At 44.5% G+C, this 21035-nt stretch overlaps 1 long non-coding RNA gene and 2 pseudogenes across 4 annotated transcripts in view; all 3 read right to left on the bottom strand.

Moving 5' to 3' along the window:
* The window catches only part of LINC03124 (long intergenic non-protein coding RNA 3124), an 84906-nt gene that overhangs the window by 3879 nt on the left and 59992 nt on the right, over positions 1–21035 (bottom strand). For 2 of the 4 annotated variants that reach the window (NR_167889.1, NR_149013.2), the window contains 3 exons: positions 12696–12893; positions 11941–12017; positions 4989–5168 (listed from right to left, as the gene is read on the bottom strand). This is a non-coding gene — a long non-coding RNA (long intergenic non-protein coding RNA 3124). The remainder of the gene's footprint in view (positions 1–4988; positions 5169–11940; positions 12018–12695; positions 12894–21035) is intronic. The other 2 variants (NR_167888.1, NR_167887.1) reach the window with 1 other exon arrangement.
* LOC100419921 (uncharacterized) lies at positions 2759–3312 on the bottom strand (annotated as a pseudogene).
* Positions 11941–21035, bottom strand: part of NBEAP2 (neurobeachin pseudogene 2) — a 29168-nt pseudogene continuing 20073 nt past the window's right edge.

Raw genomic sequence — 21035 nt, 5'->3', positions numbered from 1 at the left:
CCTAGTCCTCAAGTGGACACCAGGCACTAGATTGACACACAGTTACCAGGTGGATATCAGGCCGCAGATGAACACCAGGCCCCAGGTGGGGTGGGTTACTTATAGCATAGGTGGCCATCAGTTCCCAGGTCTATATCCACTCCCCACCTGAAAATCAGGATCCAGGTGAATACCCATGTCCTAGGTGAACACCAGGTTCCAAATGAACATCAGGCTCCAAGTGAACACACAGGCCCCAGTTCAATACCAGCCTCAGGTAGACATCAGGACCCAGGTGGACCCCAGGCCCAATGTGCATGCCTAGTCTCTTGGAATACATCATTTTCAAGGTGGCCACCGAGATTCCTGGTAGACATCTGGTGCCAGGTGGATATCTGGCTGCAGGTGGACATCAGGCCCCAGGTGGAGACCCAGTACACAGCTGTAAATCAGGCTCCAGTATTTCATCAGGCCCCAGTTAAACACTTGACTAAAGGTGCGCATCAAGACCCAGGTTGACCCCCAGGCTTCAGGTGCACACTAGGCCCAAAGTGTACACCCGTGCCCAGGTGGGCATCAGGCCCAAGGTGTACACCAGACCCCAAGTGGACATCAGGTTCCAGGTTGACACCAGTCTCTAGGTAGATCCTTAAGTCCCAATTGGTCATCAGGCCCAAGGTGGATGGATACCTTGACCCCAGGGGGTCACCAGGTCCCAGGCAGGCCTCAGGTGGACACTAAGCCCTAGGTTAACACAAGGTCTGAGATGGTTTCAGCCCCCATGTGGACTTTAGTCATAAGGAGCTTACCTAGGCCCTATGTGGACATCAGGTCCCAGGTTGACACAATGAACCATGTAGAAGTCAGGCTGTAAGTAGACACCCAGGCCCTAGGTAAATACTTTGGTCCCAAGCCAACATCAGGCCCTATGTGGACATCCAGACTCCAGGAAGATGTCAGGCCCCAGGTGAACACTGAACTCAGGGTGGTCATCAGGCCCTAGGTTGACACATAGGCCTCAGGTAGACAACAGGCATAGGTGAACTTCAGGCTCTAGATGAATGTTGGGCTCCAGGAAGAAGTCTGTGCCCCAATTAAACACTGGGTCTTAGGTAGACATCAGGCCTCAAATGGATGCCCAGGCCCCAGGTGGATATAAGGCCTCAGGCCCCAGGTAGACATTAGACACGAAATGGACACTCAGGCCACAAGTGAACATCTGTCCCCAGGGGGACATCCATCCCAAGGTGGACATCAGGCCAGAGATGTACACCCAGGCCCCAGGAGAACCCCAGGCCCCAGGAGGACACTCAAGTGCCAGAAGGACACCCAGTCCCTAGGTAACTACAAGGCCCCAGGTGGACATGATGTTCCAGATGGATATGAGGCCCCAAGTGGATACTAGGCCCAGGTGGACCCCAGGTCTCAGGGGCACACCAGGCCCCAGGGGAACACCAGGCCCTAGGTAAGCATGCAGTCCCAGGTGGACATCAGGTGCCAGGAGGACACCAGGACCCAGTTGGTCATCAAGCCACTGCTGAACACCAATTCCCCATGAACACCAGTCCTCAGGTGGGCACCTAGTCCTCTTGTGTGCATCAGGTGCCAGGCTGACATAGGCACCAGCTGAACTCTGGGCCTCAGGTGAACATCAGATCCCAGGTTGTCACCCAGGTCCCAGGTGAACACCAGGTTTTAGGTGGACACGAGGTCCTAGGTGGATGTCTATGCTCCTGGTGAACCTCAGGCCCTAGTGGACACTCAGGCCCTTTATAGACATCTGGCTCCATATGCACTCCCAGGGCCCAGGTAGACATGAGGCCCCAGAGGAACACCAGTCCTTAATCAACTAAGACTGAATTCCCCTAGGGCTGGAGACTGAGTATTCACCTTGGGCCTAGGAATCTACCTGGGGCCAGATGTCGATCTGGGGCCTGATGTCTACTCAGGTTCAGCTGTCCACCTAGGGCAGGGTGTTCTTCTGGGACCCAGAGTCTACCTGAAATCTTGTTATCAACCTGGGTCCTATGTGTCCACTTGGAGTCTGATGTGCACCTGAAGCCTGAGTTTTCACCTAGGATCTGATGAGCACCTGGGGCCCAGGTTTCCATCTGAAACATCAGGCTCTAGTTATACATCTGGGCCCCAGGTATACACTAGACACGAAAGGAACTCCAGCTCATATCTTAACATGAGGTCCTAGGTGGATGCCCAGGCCTCATGTCTACATTAGGCCTCAGGTAGACACGATTCCAGGTGGGCATCAGGCCTGATATTGGCTCTATGTCTCCACCCAAATCTCATGTTGAATTGTAATCCCCATGGGTTGAAGAAGGGGCCTGGTGAGAGGTGATTGAATCATGGGGGCAGACTTCCCACTTGCTGTTCTCGTGATAGAGTTCTTACGAGATCTGGTTATTTGAAAGTGTGTAGCACATCCCCCTTCTCTCTCCCTCCTCCTCTCCCATGGTAAAAAGGGCTTGCTTCCTCTTGGCTTTACATCATGATTGTAAGTGGCCCGAGCCCGCCCAGTCATTCTCCCTATTAAGCCTAAAGAACTGTGGGTCAGTTAAACCTCTTTTCCTCATAAGTTGCCCAAAATCAGGTAGTTTTTTATAACAGTGTGAAAACGGACAAGGTCTTAGGATAACGACCATGCTTCAGGCCATAGGTGGACATCTGGCTGCAACTGGACACTATTCCCCAGGTGGATACCTAGGCTCAAGGTTGACATTAGTCCCCAGGTAAACAACAAGCCCCAGATGAATACCTATGCCCTAAGTAGACATCAGGCCTCAAGCTGACACTCAGTCTAACCTCAACATTAGGCTCCAGGTGGACACCCAGACTCCAGGTGGACACTAGACCCCAGGGGTACACCAGACTCCTGGTAGGCATAAGGCCCCAGGAGGACACTAGAATCCAGGTGTACATAAAGCCACTGATTGACACCAAGCCCTCAGATGAACACCAGGCCAACTAGTGGACGTTAGGCACATGAGAATACTTGGGCACCAGGTAGGTATCAGGTCCCAGGTAAACATCAAACTTCAGGTGGACATCATTCTCCATGTGAACTCTAGCCCCAGCTAAACATCAGGCTCCAGGTGGAAGCCCAGACCCCAGGAGCACTTCTGACCACAGTTGAACATCTGTCCCCAGGTGAATATCAGACCATGGAGGGATAGCAAGTCCCCAGGTAGACATCAGGTCAAAAGTGAATATAAGTCTCTAGGAAGACATCTGGCCCCAGGTGGATACTGAACTAGAGGTTTACATCAGGCCCCAGGTTGACAGCAAGGCCCAGGTAGACAGCAGGCCCCAAATGAAGACCAGGCCCAGGTGTATACTGAACTAGAGGTTTACATCAGACCCCAGATTGACATTCAATCCCCAGGTGGTCATGACACCTCAATTGGACACCAAGTCCTCAGGTTGATACCCAAGTCCCCGGTGGACACCAGGTCAAAGATGAACACAAGACCTAAGGTTGACACTCAAGCCCCAAGTGGACACCAGGCCCTAGGTGAATAATATGACCCAGGGGATCATTAGGACCCAGCTGCATACCAGTCCCCAGGTGTACATGAGGCCCCCAGTAGGTTCCTAAGCTCTAGTTCGACATGAGGTCTCCAGTAGAGACCCAGGACTAAGGTGGACATCAAGCATCAGATGGACGTCTGGCCATGGATGAACATCAAGCCTCACATGGATACCTAGTCCCCAGGTAGACATCAGACCCCAGTTTGACATCAGTTTCTGGGTGGATCCCTAAGCCCCAGGTGGATATCCAGTCTCCAGCTGAACATCAGCCCCTCGTGGACGTCCAGGCCCCAGGTGGATATCAGGTCTCAGGTGAACACAAGTCCCCAGGCAGACATCAGGCACCAGGTGCACACTCAGACCCCAAGAGGACATGTGTCCCCAGGTTGACATCACTCTCAAGGTGTGCATTAGGCAACAGATGTACACCCAGGTCCAAGGCAGACACGAGTCTCCAGTAAAACTCAAGGCCCCAGGAGGATACTCAAGCCCTAGGTGGATGCCCAGATCCCAGGTAATTACAAGGCCCCAGGTGGATATCAGATTCCAGATGAACATTAGGCCCCAAGTGGATAACTAGGCACCAGGTAGACAGGAGGCCCCAGGTGCATCCCTCAGTCTCAGGTGCACACTAGGCCCCCGGTGAACACTGGCTCCAGGTGAGCACCCAGTCCAAGGTAGACACCATGACCCAGGTGGTCATTAGGCCACAGCTAAACACCAATCTCAAGTGAACACCAGATCCCAGGTGGGTACCTAGTCTCCAGGTGGATATCGGGCCCCAGGTGGACACCCAGCCCTCAGATGAACATCAAGCTTCAGGTGGACATCATGCCTCAGGTGAACTCCGGGTCCCAGCCCAGCTGAACATCAGGCCGCAGGTGGATGCCCAGGTTCCAGGTGCACAACAGGTCACAGTTGGACATTCAGCCCCATGTGAACATCGGGCCATGGGTGGACAAAGAGTCCACAGGTGGACATCAGGTCAAAGGTGAACATCAGTACTCAGGTGGACATCAGGCTTCAGGTTGACATCAAGCCCAAGGTGGACACTGAACTAGAGGTTTACATCAGGCCCCAGGTTGACACCCAGGCTCAGGTGGACATTAGGCCCCAGGTGGATACCTAGACCCCTAGTAAACCTCAGATTCTAGGTTGACATTCAGGCCCCCAGTAGTCATTTGGCCCCATGTGGACACTCAGGCGCCAGGTTCACATGATGTCTTAACTGGACACCAAGGGGCCAGTCTGATACCCAAGTCCTATGTGGGTGCCAGGTCCAAGGTTACACTCAAGCCCCAAGTGGACACCAGGCCCTAGGTGAATAATACAACCCAGGTGGTCATTAGGCCCCAGATTGACACCAGTCCCCAGGTTAACCAGAAGCCCCCAGTGGGTACCGAGGCCCCAGTTGGACATCAGGCCTAATGTGGACACCCAGGATCAAGATGGACATCAGGACTCACGTAGACATCTGGTGACAGGTGGACATCAAGCCTGGTGTGGATACCTTGTCCCCCGGTGGTCATCAGGCCCCAGTTCAACACCAGTCCCTGGGTGGATTCCTCAGCTCCAGGTGGACATCCAGTCTTCAGCTGAACATCAGACCCCAGGTGAACACCACGTCTTAGGTGGACATTAGGCCCCTGGTGGACATAAAGTACCAGTGGACATCCATGCCACAGGTAGACACCCAGGGCCCAGATGGGCATCAGGCTCCATTTGGACATTGAGGCCCCAGGTGGATATCAGGCCTCAGGTGAACCCTAGGTCCAACATAGACATCAGGCCGTAGGTTGACACTCAAGCACCAGGTGGACTGCTGCACCTAAGCAGAAAACAGACCCCTATCTAGATATCTAAGATACAGGTGTACAACAAGCCCCAGGCTGACATCCAGACCCCAGGTGGACAATATGCCCCAGGTGGACAGCATACCCCAGGTGAACAGCAGGCAACAGTTTGGCACCAAGGACCTAAGTGAAACAAAGCCTTAGGTGATTACCAGGCCATAGGTAGTCATTAGTCTCCAGCTGGACAATAGTCCCTAGGTGGATACCTAGGCCCCAGGTGGACACTAGACCCCAGATTAAAACAAAAACCAAGTAAAAAAATCAAGCCCCAAGTGGACAACCAGGCCCTAGGTAAATACACAAATCTCAAGCTGACACCAGGCCCTATTTGGACACCCAAGCCCTAGATGGACTTCAGGCCACAGGTGAACACTGAACTCTAGAAGGTCTTCAGGCACCGTGTTGACTACCTGGCCCCAGGGGGACACCAGGCATAGATGAACTTCAGCCACCAGCTGTACATCAGGTTCCAGGCAAATGTCCAGGCCCCAAGTGGATATCAAACCTCAGATGAACACCAGGCCCCAGGTAGACATCACAAACCAGGTGGACACTCAGGCCCCTACTGAATATCCGTCCCCAGGTGGACATCCATCCCAAGGTGGACATCAGGCCACAGATGTACACTTAAGCCTAAGGCAGACCCCAGGCCCCAGGAAAACTCCAGGCTCCATGAGGGCACTCAGACCCCCGGTGGATGCACTGGTCCTAGGTAAATACAAGACCCCAGGTAGACATCAGGCTCCAGTGAACACCGGAGCCCAGGTGGGTACCTAGTCCCCAGGTGTGCATCAGGCAGAAGGTTGACCCAGTCCCCAGCTGAACTCTGGGCCCCAGCTGAACATCATAACCCAGATGGTCACCCAGGCTCCAGGTGAACACATGGTCTTAGGTGGACATCAGGCCCCACATGAACACCCAAGCCCCAGGTAGATATCAGGCCTTAGGTGTACACCAAGCCTCTGGTGGGCATCTGGCTCCAAATGGCCATAGGTGGATAACTAAGCCTCTCCTGGATATCAGGCCCCAGGTAGACACCAGGCTCCAGGTGAACATCTAGCCCCAGGGGGACATCCAGCCCCTGGTGGACATCAGGGCTCACATGGATAAACAGTTTACAGATGGACACCTGCCACAGGTGCCTCACCTCTACTCCCTGAAACCTCACTTCCCCTCAGGGCCTTCTGTCCAGCTTGGGGTACCCCTAGCCGCCCTAGGCGCACACTGGACCCGAACCAGGGACGCCAGGGTCCCTGGGGCTCAGCGCAAGGGTTCATAGGAATACACTTTCATCCGTGGGGGACCCAGTCCCCGCTTCTCGGCGGCGCAGTTTTGTTTTGTTTTTTTTTCTCTGTCCCAGGTGCCTCACCTTCCTCTCATGGGCCTTCTGTCCACCTTCGGGTACCCCTAGCGGCCCGAGGCGCACCCTGGGCTCAAACCAGGGATGCCAGGGTCCCCGGGGCACAGCGCAAGGGCTGATGGGGAGACACTTTCTTCCGTGGGAGAGCCAGGCCCCGCTTCTCCTAGGAACGGTTTTTTTTTTTTTCCTCTGCCCCAGGTGGGTCACCTTCCCTTCATGGGCGTTCTGCCCGCTTTGGGGTACCCCTAGCGGCCCCAGGCACACGCTGGACTCGAATAAGGGTCGCCAGGGTCCCCGGGGCCCAGCGCAAGGGTTGATGGGAAGACACTTTCACCTGTGGGGGACCCAGGCCCCGCTTCTCCGCGGCGAGGTTTTTTTTTTTTTTTTCTCTGCCCCAGGTGCCTCACCTTCCCCTCACGTGCCTTCTGCACGCTTTGGGGTACCCCTAGCGGCCCGAGGCGCACCCTGGGCTCGAACCATGGAAGCCAGGTTCCACGGGGCCAAGCGCAGTGGCTGATGGGAAGGCACTTTCGTCCGTGGGGGACCCAGGCACCGGTTCTCCGCTGCGCTTTTTTTTTTTTTTTTTCTGCCACAGGTGCCTCACCTCTCTTCCCTCAAACCTCAGCTGAAACTTTTGGGCCTTCTTTCCTCCATGGGGTACTCCTAGCAGCCTGAGGCGCACTGTGGGCTCGAACCAGGGACGTCAGCGTCTTCGGGGCCCAGCTCAAGGGCTGACGGACACTTTCGTCCGTGGGGGACCCAGGCCCCGCTTCTCCGCGGGGCGGTTTTTCTTTTTCTCTGCCACAAGTGCCTCACCTTCCCCTCATGGGCCTTCTGTCCGACTTGGGGTACCCCTAGTGGCCAGACGCACACCCTGGGTTCGAAACTGGGACACTAGGTTCCCCGGGGCCCAGCGCAAGGGCTGATGGGAAGACACTTTCTTCCTTGGGGACCCAGGCTCTGCTTCTCCGCGGCGTTTTTTTGTTGTTGTTGTTGTTTTGTTTTTTGTTTTTTGTTTTGCTTTTCCCCAGGTGCCTCCCCTTCCCCTCATGGGCTTTCTGCCCGCCTTGAGGTACCACTAGCGGGCCCGAGGCGTACCCTGGTTTTGAGCCAGGGACGCTAGGGTCTCCGGGGCCCAGTGCAGGGGCTGATGGGTAGGCACTTTCGTCCGTGGGGCACCCAGGCCCCACTTCTAGGCGGCGCAGTTTTTCATTTTTTTCTCTGCCCCAGGTGTCTCACCTTTCCCTCATGGGCCTTCTGTCTGCCTTGGGGTACCCCTAGCGGGCCCGAGGCGCACCTGCGGCTCGAACCAGGGTGGCCAGGGTCCATGAGGCCCAGTGCAGGGGCTGATGGGAAGGTACTTTCGTCCGTGGGGGACCCAGGCCCCACTTCTGGGCGGCGCAGTTTTTCATTTTTTTCTCTGCCCCAGGTGTCTCACCTTTCCCTCATGGGCCTTCTGTCTGCCTTGGGGTACCCCTAGCGGGCCCGAGGCGCACCTGGGGCTCGAACCAGGGTGGCCAGGGTCCATGGGGCCCAGTGCAGGGGCTGATGGGAAGGCACTTTCGTCCGTGGGGGACCCAGGCCCCACTTCTCCGTGGCGCGGTTTTTTGTTCTTTTTCTGTGACAGGTGCGTCACCTCTCCTCCTTCAAAGCTCACCTTCCCCTCATGGGCTTTCTGCCTGCCTTTGGGTACCCCTAGCAGACCCGAGGCGCACCCGGGGCTCGAACCAGTGTCGCCAGGGTCCACAGGGTCCAGTGCAGGGGCTGATGGGAAGGCACTTTCGCCCGTGGGGGACCCAGGCCCCGCTTCTCCGCCGCGCGGTTCTGTTTTTTTTTTCTTTTTCTGCGTCAGGTGCCTCACCTCTCCTCCCTCAAAACTCACCTTCCCTTCATGGACTTTGTGCCCCCCTTGGCACAAAGCGGCCGAGGCGCACCCTGGGCTCGAACCAGGGACACCAGGGTCCCCGGGTCCCAGTGCAGGGGCTGATGGGAAGACACTTTCTTCCGTGGGGGACCCAGGCCGCGCTTCTCGGCGGCGAAGTTTTTTTTTTTTTTTTCTCTCTGCCCCAGGTGCCTCACCTTCCTCTTCAGGGCTTTCTGCCCACCTTGGGGGACCCCTCGTGGCCCGAGGCGTACCCTGGGGTCAAACCAGGGACGCCAGGGTCCCCAGGGCCCAGCGCAGGGGCTGATGGGATGACACTTTTGTCCGTGGGGGACCCAGGCACCGCTTCTCGGCGGCGCGTTTTTTTTTCTCTGCCTCAGGTGCCTCACCTTCCCCTCATGGGCCTTTTGTTCGCTTTGTGGTACGCCAAGCGGTCCCGAGGCGCACCCTGGGCTCGAACCGGGGTCGCCAGGGTCCACGGGGCCCAGTGTAGGGCCTGATGGGAAGGCACTTTCATCCGTGGGGGACCCATGCCCCGCTTCTCCGAGGCGCGGTCCTGTTTTTTTTTTCTGCCCCTGGTGCCTCACCTCTCCTCCCACAAACTTCAACTTCCCCTCATGGGCCTTCTGTCCGAGTTGGGGGTACTCCTAGCGGCCCGAGGCATACCCTGGGCGCGAACCAGGGATGCCACGGTCCCTGGGGCCCAGCGCAAGGGCTGATGGGAAGACAGTTTCCTTCGTGGATGACCCAGACAGCGCTTCGCGGCGCATTTTTTTTTTTTCTCTGCCCCAGGTGCCTCACCTTCCCCTCATGGGCCTTCTGCCCTCTTTGGAGTCCCCCTTGCGGCCTGAGGCTCACCTGGTCTCGAACCAGGGATGCCAGGGTCCACAGGGCCAAGCGCAGGGCCTGATGGGAAGGCAATTTCGTCCGTGGGGGACCCAGGCCCCGCTTCTCCACGGCGCGGTTTTTTTTTTCTCTGCCCCAGGTGCCTCACCTTCCCCTCATGGGCTTTCTGCCCTCCTTGGGGTACCCCTATCAGGCCCGAGGCTCACCCTGTGCTCCAACCAGTGTCGCCAGGGTCCACGGGGCCCAGCGCAGGGGCTGATGGGAAGAAACTTTCGTGTGTGGGGGACCCAGGCCCCCCTTCTCCGTGGCGCGTTTTTTTTTTTTTTCTGCCACAGGTGCCTCACCTATCCTCCCTCAAACCTCACCTTCCCCTCATGGGCCTTTTGTCCGCCTTGAGGTATCCCTAGCGGCCTGAGGCGCACCCTGGGGTGGAACCAGGGACGCCAGGTTCCACTGGGCCCAGCGCAGGGGCTGATGGGAAGGCACTTTCGTCTGTGGGGTCCCAGGCCCTGCTTCTCCGCTCGCGCGGTTTTTGTTTTTTTTTTTTTTTTCTCTGCCCCACGTGCCTCACCAGCTACTTGGGAGGCTGAGTCAGGAGAATTGCTTGAGTCTGGGAAATGGAGGTTGCAGTGAGTCAAGAGATCACAGCACTGCACTCCAGCCTGGGCAACACAGTAGGAGTCCATCTTAAATAAAGAAAGAAAGAAACTAAAGACAAAATAGGCATCACTGAAAAAGTTGGAATTAGTTAATACAGGGAAATATTAGGATGAATGATATAAAAGAACTAAAATCAAAATGAAAATAAGTATGCTGACTCCTCACACTCTCTTTTATCTCCATGATGAAATAAATACAATTTAAATACCAAGATATGATATACATATCAAATGAGTTTTGAGGAAGGACAGTAAAACGTAACCATGCATCTTGTATTAATAAACCAGATAACCTATTACATATGGTTTAGCAGTAAGATTTGATAATATATGTATTTCATATTATTTCATGAGAAATATTTAGATTATACATGGATTTTTCTAGTAAGATTTGATTATATGTATTTCATATTTCATAAGAAATATTTAAATTATACATGGATTTTTCTAGTGGCAACTTCATCTCCCACTTACTTTTTTTTCATAGTACTGACTAGATTTTAAATTACTGATCATAATGTGTCCTAGTTCACTGAGATGATAAATAGCAAAACATTTTGAATTTAAATAAAGGACAGAAATTTTAAGTTTGATTTTTCTACTAAGCTGAGCTAACTTCCAATTAGATTATTTAAGATCTCACAAACAAAATAGTATCACAGCAGGACATAACCTCAGGATTCCTTTTCACTTCAAGTTTTTTACTTTCAAAACTCCCACCTTTACACTATATTGATATGAAAGGCATCAAGACCCATAGACGGGAGGTAATGTTATAAATGTACAAATCTCTTATCTATATTTAGAGTTATACTTTACATAAAGATGTTCCCAAAACAGAAATAATATTATTAGAAATACTAAAATTGAATTTCATTAATAGCTAATTTAGATAATAATTATGAGAAAAAAACATGTATTACACTTCATTGTACCTTACATTTTTCTCATACCTCCATTCACTAGATTTGCCATCAATTCAAAATTAGATAACCCATGAAGGAGCTCATATATATGTATATGTACTAATGAAGCACTACTATGTTACTTTTGGAATAAAAATTAATGCTTATCTATATAACTTGCCCATTAAAATCCCCAAGCATGGCAGTGTGTATAGTCAAAATAGCTATTAGAATTCATTTTTAAATTCTTGTATATATAATTCTAAGATATAACAGTAAATTAGAGTCTGGCACATAAGGTTTTTTTAAATAAAAGAGAAACTATAAAAATGCACATGAAATTACACTCATTAGAAGATATTTAATTTTTACATAAACTTGGATTTGCCACTGGTTAGATTTGAGTCCTCAAACATAAACTATATATAAATAAGGGTTGATGTCAATTAACATTATGCTAGACTTATGCCACGACAAACGCATCATAAAATAATACCACTCTTAAAGATATAAATTATGTAATTGCTAATAAATGTTTTTTCTTCTGAATAATTTTACCCTAGTAATTTTCTTCAACCTGACAGGGTTTCATGGAGAATTCGAACCATGAGTATATGCAAATGATAAGGTCAGGATTCATATTTTCCCTCAACTACATATTATAATCACTATGCTATCTTTGTTAAGAATTTTCTATTTATTATCACAAAAGGCATTCCTTTATGATATAACAACCTAAATGTCAGGGTTTTATTTATTGTATAAATATCTATCTGCATTAGTTCTAAAAAATTTATTAGCACTTTAAGGGCAGAACCCAAATACTGTAATACATTTACACAGCACTGAGTACATCATGCATAGTCTAAGTGTGTATAAAATACCAGCAATTGCACATGTAAAGAAAACTTACCAGACAGTTGTTTCCACTTGACTGTCATTGAGCTGCCGATTATCCAATTGGGGAAACAGTGGAAAAAGCACTTGAATCTGTCCAATTGAATGAATTGCACTATGAATTGAATGTGTTACTATCCCTTTCACATCCTATGTCTAAAACCAAAAATGTTTATTAAACTTCTATAGAATGATTTTCATCACTATTTCCTTGGTCCAAATACCTTTATAAGGGAATTAAATAACATAGTTGGACATTTTTGAAGCCTTCAATTATAATTTTTATACACACATAAGACAAAAAAGTGAGTACATTTGCTAATCACTTTTAAATTTCAAATCTTAGGTTGAGACATTTTTACACTAAAAATATGAAGTTAAAATCAAATGTTATTTTAAAACCAGAAATACTATTGATGGATTTAAAGACAAGTAATTTTAATGTTACAGAATATTAGTAATACAATCTTAAAGCAAAGTATGTTTTTATATCTAACAACTAACTTATTCAGTTAATTGATTTAATTTCAAAGGCTGTATAATATATAAGATAATAGATATGACAGATTTCCTACTAAGGAGACAAGGCCAGGGTAGAGCATATTGCTACAGAAAAGATAGACATTCTTTAAAGTTTCACTTAAAAGATCTGCAAAAGCCAAAAAAGAAACAAAAAGTCACAGATTTATAGATGAGCAATGTTTGATACATAAAATAAAGATACTGTTAAATTCTGACAAGAACATGAAAACACAGCCATGATTCACCCACCTGAAGCATTAGAGCATGTTGGGAATGCACAAAAATTGATGCATTCTCTTTTGGTGATGATTCCAGGCAGAGTTGAGCATCAGTGGCCTTAGCAGTATATGTAAAGGTAATGCTACTTGCAAGTTTCCCATCATACAAAACCTGTTTATGATGTTCTGCCAAATGAATATCACTCTCAGATTTAAACTTGAAGGTACTCTGAAAAAATAAAACCAAGGTAAACACTCTTTTTAAAAGCAACAATTAAAACTTAAAAGTTTTAAAGCAGAGAAACATTTGCAATAAGAAAGTACTTGTGTACCTTTCATGTGTCAGGGACTATTCAGTGGTGTTACTTACTTTGTTATTGTCACTTCAATTCAATGAGAGTTAAGTTTTATTATGCCAATAAAGATGCTCAGATCTTCATTTTCTAATTTAAAGTTTTTGATTACTGGCAAAATCATTTCATTAGAAAAAAATATCAAACCTGATATTATATATAATAGGATTTTACTTGACTACATCATAGCATAAGTTTAATTTTTATTATTAACACTTTAAAAAGTATTTATGTAAATAAGCAGTGCCTGACACATGAATTACTTATAAAAATGACTACCATTTGAGGCTATAAAAAGTTAATATGCAAAAATATTCATATCTTCACTAAAAAGCAAATCAATCTATGAAATACCAATGCTACTCAACAATAATATCACAATATACATACTAAACTCAGAAGAGAAGTTTGTTAAAACATGTTATTACTTTTTATGAAAGACAACTAAACATATGCCATCTATAACAAGAAAGGTATTGTCAGACATGGTTAAAATTGCTCTGCAGATATGAGTCTAATAATGATAAATGATATTTAACCTTTGCAATAATCACATATCAATATTACTATTACTTTCAACTTACAACTATGAAAGCTTAATGTTAAGAAATTAAGATGTAGAAGGGAAGGGGCCAGCATGTAATTCTAAGTCTTCTGATTTATAGTCCATATTCAGTGTATTGCTGCTGACATCAACTTAAAATCCTGACTCTGCCACTAATTATCTTTTTCAAGCTTAGGAAATCATTTAGCTGATGTGGCTCCAATTTTCTCACTCAATGTTATAATAAGGTTAAATCAAATGTCCCAAACTCAAGTTCTCACAGAAGGCACACAGATATGCATGTAAGTGAATTGGGCCAGATGGGGACTTCCTCAAACTAGAGAATGTTTGTCCTTTCTAAAAGTGGCCCCTACTCCTCAGCTCAAGTCAATTGTTCACTGTTGCTAGTTCTTCCATATTTTTCAAGAGAAACATGAAATCCGAATTTTTATCTAAAAGCACTATATTTTAAAATTTAATTCAAACATTTTAACACTGTGAAGACCAAACATGTCAGTTTTTACTTCTGGACTAGTGTGTAGAGACTAATACGAAACTGGATGCAAACTATTAATTATTAGGCATGTGCCAAGACAAGAGCAACATGAATAATTAAAAATCTGTGTATGTTGTAGTCTGAAGTATTTCATTGATAATACTTTTTTTTTGAATGAGGAAGGTAGTGTTATCACTAGAATGCTTAAGAACTCAGCATATCTGCATTCAAAAAAACAATGACTGAATTAAACACACAAGATACGTTGTTAAACACTAAATCAGCTTTCCGTGTCTGCATTTTACCACTGCGGAAACATTTGTACATCCCATTGTCTAGAACAAAACTCTTGCTTTCATTTTGTTCATACTGCTTACACTGGAATTAACAAGTTTTAATATATTATCTTAAAAGATTTAAAATACTTTTGTGGAAATGTAAGGTGTCTAATAAAACCTATTCTTATTTGGAAATACATTGGTCTTAGTTTTTCTGAGTCCATGATACATACCATACCCTATTTTGGTTTGTAGGAGGAAAACAAGTTTACGTAATTAAATCTAACATTTTCAGGTTAAAAAAAGTGTATAATGTAATTTAAATATAAACATGAAATCCATTAAATAAAGATAATTTTCTTATCTTCCCTTATTTGTAGTATTAGGTTATTTCTATGTCTTTAAATTTATATATAAAGGTGGACATGCGCAATGGCTCACACCTGTAATCTTAGCACTTTGAGAGGCCAAGGTGGGAGGATCACTTGAGGCCAGGAGTTTGAGATCAACCTGGGCAACACAGAGAGAGACCCCATCTCTACCAAAAAATTAAAAATTAGCTGAGTGCGGTGTCACATGCCTATAGTCCCAGCTCTTCAGGAGGTGAAGTGGAAGGATCACTGAGCCCAGGATTTTGAGGCCACAGTGAGCCTTGATCACACCACTGCACTCCACCCTGGGTGACACAGTGAGACCCTGACTCTCAAAAAAATTTAAAAAGAAAAAATTTTACATAAAAGTATAAGCCTTTATATAAATATCAATATTTATTGTATTATTTCTTTCAGAAGGATTTTCAGAGGAAGAATTGTTATATAAAACTGTATGAATAGGACATGGATGAGAATGAGGAGTGATTGCAAATAGGCAGGTAGGATCCTTCTGGGGTGATAGAAATGTTCTAAAATTAAATTGTAGTGATGTCTGCACAACTTTGTAAGTTTGTAAAAAATAATTGACTTGTACACTTAACATTAATGAGTTGTATGACATGTAAATTACACTTCAATAAAACTGTTATAATTATTTTAAGAGAAGAAAAGAATGTATGAATATATTTTGTACCAATTATACTCAAATGAGTAGAGTATGATGCATGCTTTTCAATACGGACCACTTCAGCATAACAAAGAAGGTGGGTGGAAGCAAAGTTATACTGAGCTAAGGAAATGACTCCAAGTGGTAACTGAATCCGCAGAAACAAATGAAAAGATTCATAAATGATAAATCAGAAGATCAATATAATAAAATCTACAAACATATACTGTATCTCCTTTCTTCTCTCAGCTTCTTTAAAATACACAATTATATGAAGTGATAATTATGTCATGTTGGGTTTGTAACATATACAGATACTATATGTATAACAATAATGTCACAAAAAACGGAGAAAACAAATAGAGCTATATAGAAGTAACATTTATATAACTCACTAGGATAAAATTAGTATAAATCTGAGGCTGATTCCAGTGAGTTAAGATGTATATGGTAAGCCCTAGTGCAATCACTAAGGAAATGTTTTTTTAAGTGAAAAAAATTATTTAAAAATTGAAAATGCTGTTTAAGAAAATAAGCACATAATCCAAAGAAAGCAGTAAAGAAGAAATAAAGAAATAAAAAGAACTTGAGACACATAGCTAACAAAAAGTAAAATGACACATGGAAACCTATCAATAATCACATTAAAGATGAATGAAATAACCAATCCAATCAAAAGGCAGAGATTGTCAGACTGGATAATAAAGTAAGATTCAATAACATACTGTTTATAGAATATTCAAAGATAAAAACATATTTAAAGTAAATTAAATGGGAAAAATATCAATAAATCACAAGAAAGCTGGAATGGCTGTGCTAATATCAGACAAAATAGATGTTAAACCAAGATATATTACTAGATATTAAAAAGACATTGGATAATGATAAAAGGGTCAGTCATGAGGAGGATATAGCAATTGTAAACATATGTGCACCTAACAGCAGAGTGTCAAAATACATGAAGAAACATCTGAAGAAATGAAGGGAGAAATAGACAAGTTAACAATAATAGTTGGGCACTTCAATACTCAACTTTCCATTCATAAGATCAAGAAAGAAACTGAAGATTTGAACAAAAACCAAACAGAACTAACAGACAACTCTAGAACACACCATCCCAAAACAGCAGAATACACATTCTTCTAAAGTACACATAGCTGGGCTCAGTGGCTTACGCCTGTAATCCCAACACTTTGGGAGGCTGAGGTAGGAGGATCACTTGAGGCCAGGAGTTCAAAACTAGCCTGAGCTTGCAAGACCCTGTCTCTATAAAAAGCTGAAAAATTAGTCAGACACAGTGGCTTGTGCCTATAATCCCAGCTACTCAGGAAGCTGAGGCAGGAGGATCACTTGAGCCCAGGAGTCTAAGTCTCCAGTGTGCTAGGACTGCACCACTGCACTCCAGCTTAGGTGACAGAAGGAGAGACCCTGTTTCCAAAAAATACGTACACACAAAACATTCTCCTGGATACACCAAACTCAGGTCATAAAACAAACCTCAATAAATTTATGAAGACAGATATAATACAAAGTATATTATCTGTCCAAACTGGAATGTTAGAAATCAATAATATAAGGGAATTTGAGGAATTCATAAATATGTGGAAATAAACACATTCCTAAATAACTGATGTGTCAAAGAAGAAATAATCAAAAGGGAAATTACAAAGTATTTTGAGATGAATAAAGGCACAAATACCAAAATATAAGCAGTTAAGGCACTTAGAAACTTCTACGTGTAAATGTTTGTATTTAAAAAGAGGACTTCAAATCAACAACTAAACCTCCCACTTTATGACCCTGGAAGCAAAAAAGCAAACTAAACATAAAACAAGCAGAAAGAAAAAAATAAAAAGAATTATAGAAGAACTTAATGAAATAGACAATAAGAAAACAACTGTGAAAACACAATAAAATCAAAAGCCAGTTCTTTGAAAAGATCAACACTACTAACAAGCCTGTACCTAGACTGACTAACATATTAATATTATTATCTCAACAGATACACTAAACATGTTTCACAGAATCTAACACTTTTTATAAGAAGCATTGAACAAACTAGGAATAGAATGGAATTCTAACTACCAAAAAAAGCATCTATAAAAAACCTACAGCCAACAACATAGTGCAATTTGTTGCAGGATGTCAGAGCATAAGACGGATAGGAAGGGTAGGTAGGAGAGCTGCCCAGTTCATGAAGTCAGAATTCCAAAAAAGTGATAAGGCGTCTACCTGAAACAACAAGGAAGAGGCAAGTGGGTTATGCCTTGACATAAAGTTTCTGAGTATGTGCAAGGTAAGGAAGATTAGGTACACTAAGGGCTTCTCTGTGTAGAGTCAGAGCCTGAAAAGGATGAGAAGGCATCTGCCTGAGAGGAGAGGGCAAACCATGGAAGGCAGCTGGATCTAGAGTGGGGATTGAAAATCATTCATTTGGTGTGTGGCTTGGCATGTTGGAGCCTGGGCAGCCAGAGAAGGGCATCCTCACAGGGGGTTGCCTGGCTCAGGTTGTTGTAGCCTGAGGAAGATGAGAAAATACGCACAAAGGGAAGCAACCAGGCAAGGGAAGGCACACCACCAGCAGGGCAGAGAGCACATTGCCCAAAGGAGTAAGCCAGGATGGGTTGTCAAGAGTTCTAGAGAGAGGGTAGCATCTGAATAAGAGGGCTGCCCAGCAGGAGGTAAAGAAACCGGGGGCTCCAGAAGGATATAGGGAAGGCATCAGCTCAACAGCCTAGCTCAGTGTATTGTGCTAGAACTGAGGAAGGGTTAAGAGGGCATCCATGATGGAAGGTAATCAGAAAAGAAGCCAACACCTGCCTCAGGTGAAGAGGGCATCCATATAGAAAATGAAGGAAAGACTGAGAAGCTGTTTGATGCATTATAATGTAAATGCAGTAAACTGGATCTTTTTACTATAAAATATATTATACAACAATTAGCAAAATTTTAAAGGGGTCTGATAATTAAATGGTAGTAACAAATCATTGCTAATCTCTTGATTTTATGTTATAGAATAATTATGTGAAAGAATGTTCTTGTTTGTAGGAACACAACATTCAGGAATGATGGAGCATCATGTCAGTAGTTACTCTCATGGTTCAGGAAAAAAACTGACTGGCATAGTGCTTGTAGCTTTTCTGTAGTTTTTATTTTACTTTTAAATTTTAAAATGTGAGAGAAAGAAGGAGATAAAGATTTAAGAGAAAATGAAATAAAATAAGTGATTTAAGAAAAAGATAAGCAAAGTAAATAAACATGCATAGTCAAGTCTCTGGAGAAGAAAACCAAAGCAAGGAAAGAGAAGAAATTCTAAAGTTGTAGTATAAGAACAATTTCTTAAAATATGAAAAGATGGAAACTACATATGAAAGTGCACACCACATACCTGAGAAATTAACTCAGAATGACCAACACCAAGACATGTCTACCAAAATTACTAGATTTAAGGAAAAAGAAAAAAAAATCCTTTGAACATCTAACAAGACTGAGTGTCTTGTAATGGAAAAGATATTACATTGTCAAGAGACTTTCAATACTAATACCTCATGCTAGGGAAAAATTAGTAGCATATTTAAGACATCCAAAGAAAGAAAAAAAAGTCAAGGATTTTATAACCAGGCAAAATGACTTTCAAGTAAAAAATATAAAGTGCCTTACACACTAGTATCAAAATGCATTTCTCAAGAAATACTGTTTCCATGAACTCTTCCTGAGGAATCTACTACAGAAAGAGCTAAAACACAGCCAAAACACATCAATATAAGGAAATAATATAAGCCCTAAACACACAGGTACTTATAGGACTATGATTAAATAACAGTTAAGAGAGAATGGTATGTAATAACTGTTGTGCTCACTATGTAGATAAGACTTTGTATTAGCTTGCTGGGTCTGCTATGACAAAGTACCAGAGTCTGGATGGCTTAAATAAAATAAGTTTATTTTCTCATAGTTCTGGAGGCTGTAAGTCTGACATATGGGTGTAAGCAGGGTTTTCTTCTGAAGACTCTCTCCTTGGTTTGAAGACAGCCTAACTACCTTTTCTTCCCTGTGTCTTCACATGGTCTTTCTTTTGCATGTGTCTGAGTCCTAATTTCCTCCTCTTTATAAGGATACTAGTTATACTGGATTAGGACCCAATAACCAAAATGACCTCACTTAATCTTAATTACCTCTTTAAAGACCCGCCTCCAAAAACAGTCACATTTCAGGCTACTGAGGGTGAGAATTTTAATGAATTTTAGGGGAACATAATTCACCTTGTAACGCCTCAACTATTTTAAAAATGGCAAGAGGGAGAATGAAGAGAACACATTCAAAAACAAATTAACTACATTTTCAGTAATTATAACAATTGGGCATTATTGGTATTATTATTCTGAGGCTGTTCTTTATGTATAATTATGGGATTTTCTCATCTATTATCCTGTGTGTATTTGACAGTCAGTATCCTCAATGAAGAAAGGAGATTTAACTTCAAGTAGGTCAAGTTAAAACACCACACTCTCCTGCTTTTTCTCCTTATTCCCTTGCTCTCCTCTTTCTCCTTTGCTGGTTCCTCTGCATCTCCCCAACCTACAAACACTGGCTTTCCCAAGGACTCATTTCTCAGTTATCTTTTTCTCTGAACTCACTTCATTGGTACCTAAATCCAGTCCTTTACCTTTAAATCCTGTCCATATCCTGCCAATGCCAAATTTCTATCTCCAACCTAGACGTCACCTCTAAACTCCAGACTTACTTCATTTTTCCATTTAGATGTTTATCAGGCATCTCAAACAACTATGCCCGTAACCTATGTCCATAACCTAATATTTGATCTTCTCCGCCACAACTTATTTCTTCATAGTCCTCCCATCTCAGTAAATGACAACTCCATCAGCTCAGTTGTTCAGGCTAAAATTCATGGGGTTACTTGCTCCTCTCAATCCTCTCTTGCTCCCTTACTCCATGTTCACAGTGACAGAAAATCCTACTGGCACTACCCCCAAAGTATACCCCAAAGCTGACCTTTTAGAGTCTTAGATATTTTAGATATGCTTTATCAAAAATCTAATCAAGTCTCAATACTTTCCAGAGCTCTTTCACTAAATAACTGCAACAGCCCCCTAACTAGTCTCCCTATTTCCACCTTTTCTCCCTATTTACCATAGTAACCAGTGTGATCCTTTTCAAATTGGTATCAGGCCAGGACACTCAAAACTTTTCAATGGCTGTCCCTCTCACTCAAGAGCAAAAATAAAGTCATAACAATCCTCTGAAAGCATATAGTTGTTCCCTGAATTAATCTTTGACTCTCCCCCTTGCTCCTTCTGTGACAGTCACAGCAAAACATAGTCACAGTGTTCTTTAATCTGTGAAGTAAGCTTCTGCTAATGGCCTTCATGCTTGCTCTGGCATTTACCCTTAAAGCTCTTAACCGGATATCCACTTGACTAGCCTCAACTTCCATCTTACCTGCTTTGTGTGTCTCACAGCTCTTATCACCATATAGACACTATATATTTTTCTTTTGTTTTGTTATGTCTTCTCCCATGATACTGCACACCCTACTTCTCCAAGATACAGGCATGGGGTTTTTGTTGGTTTTGTTTAATTGTTATATCCCTAGCATCTAGAACAGTGCCCAACTGTTTAATAAAAGAATGAATGGATGAAT

The sequence above is a fragment of the Homo sapiens genome, chromosome 2, assembly GCF_000001405.40.
Source record: "Homo sapiens chromosome 2, GRCh38.p14 Primary Assembly".
Classification (NCBI taxonomy): Eukaryota; Metazoa; Chordata; class Mammalia; order Primates; family Hominidae; genus Homo; species Homo sapiens.
This window is presented reverse-complemented; position numbering and strand designations above follow the sequence as displayed.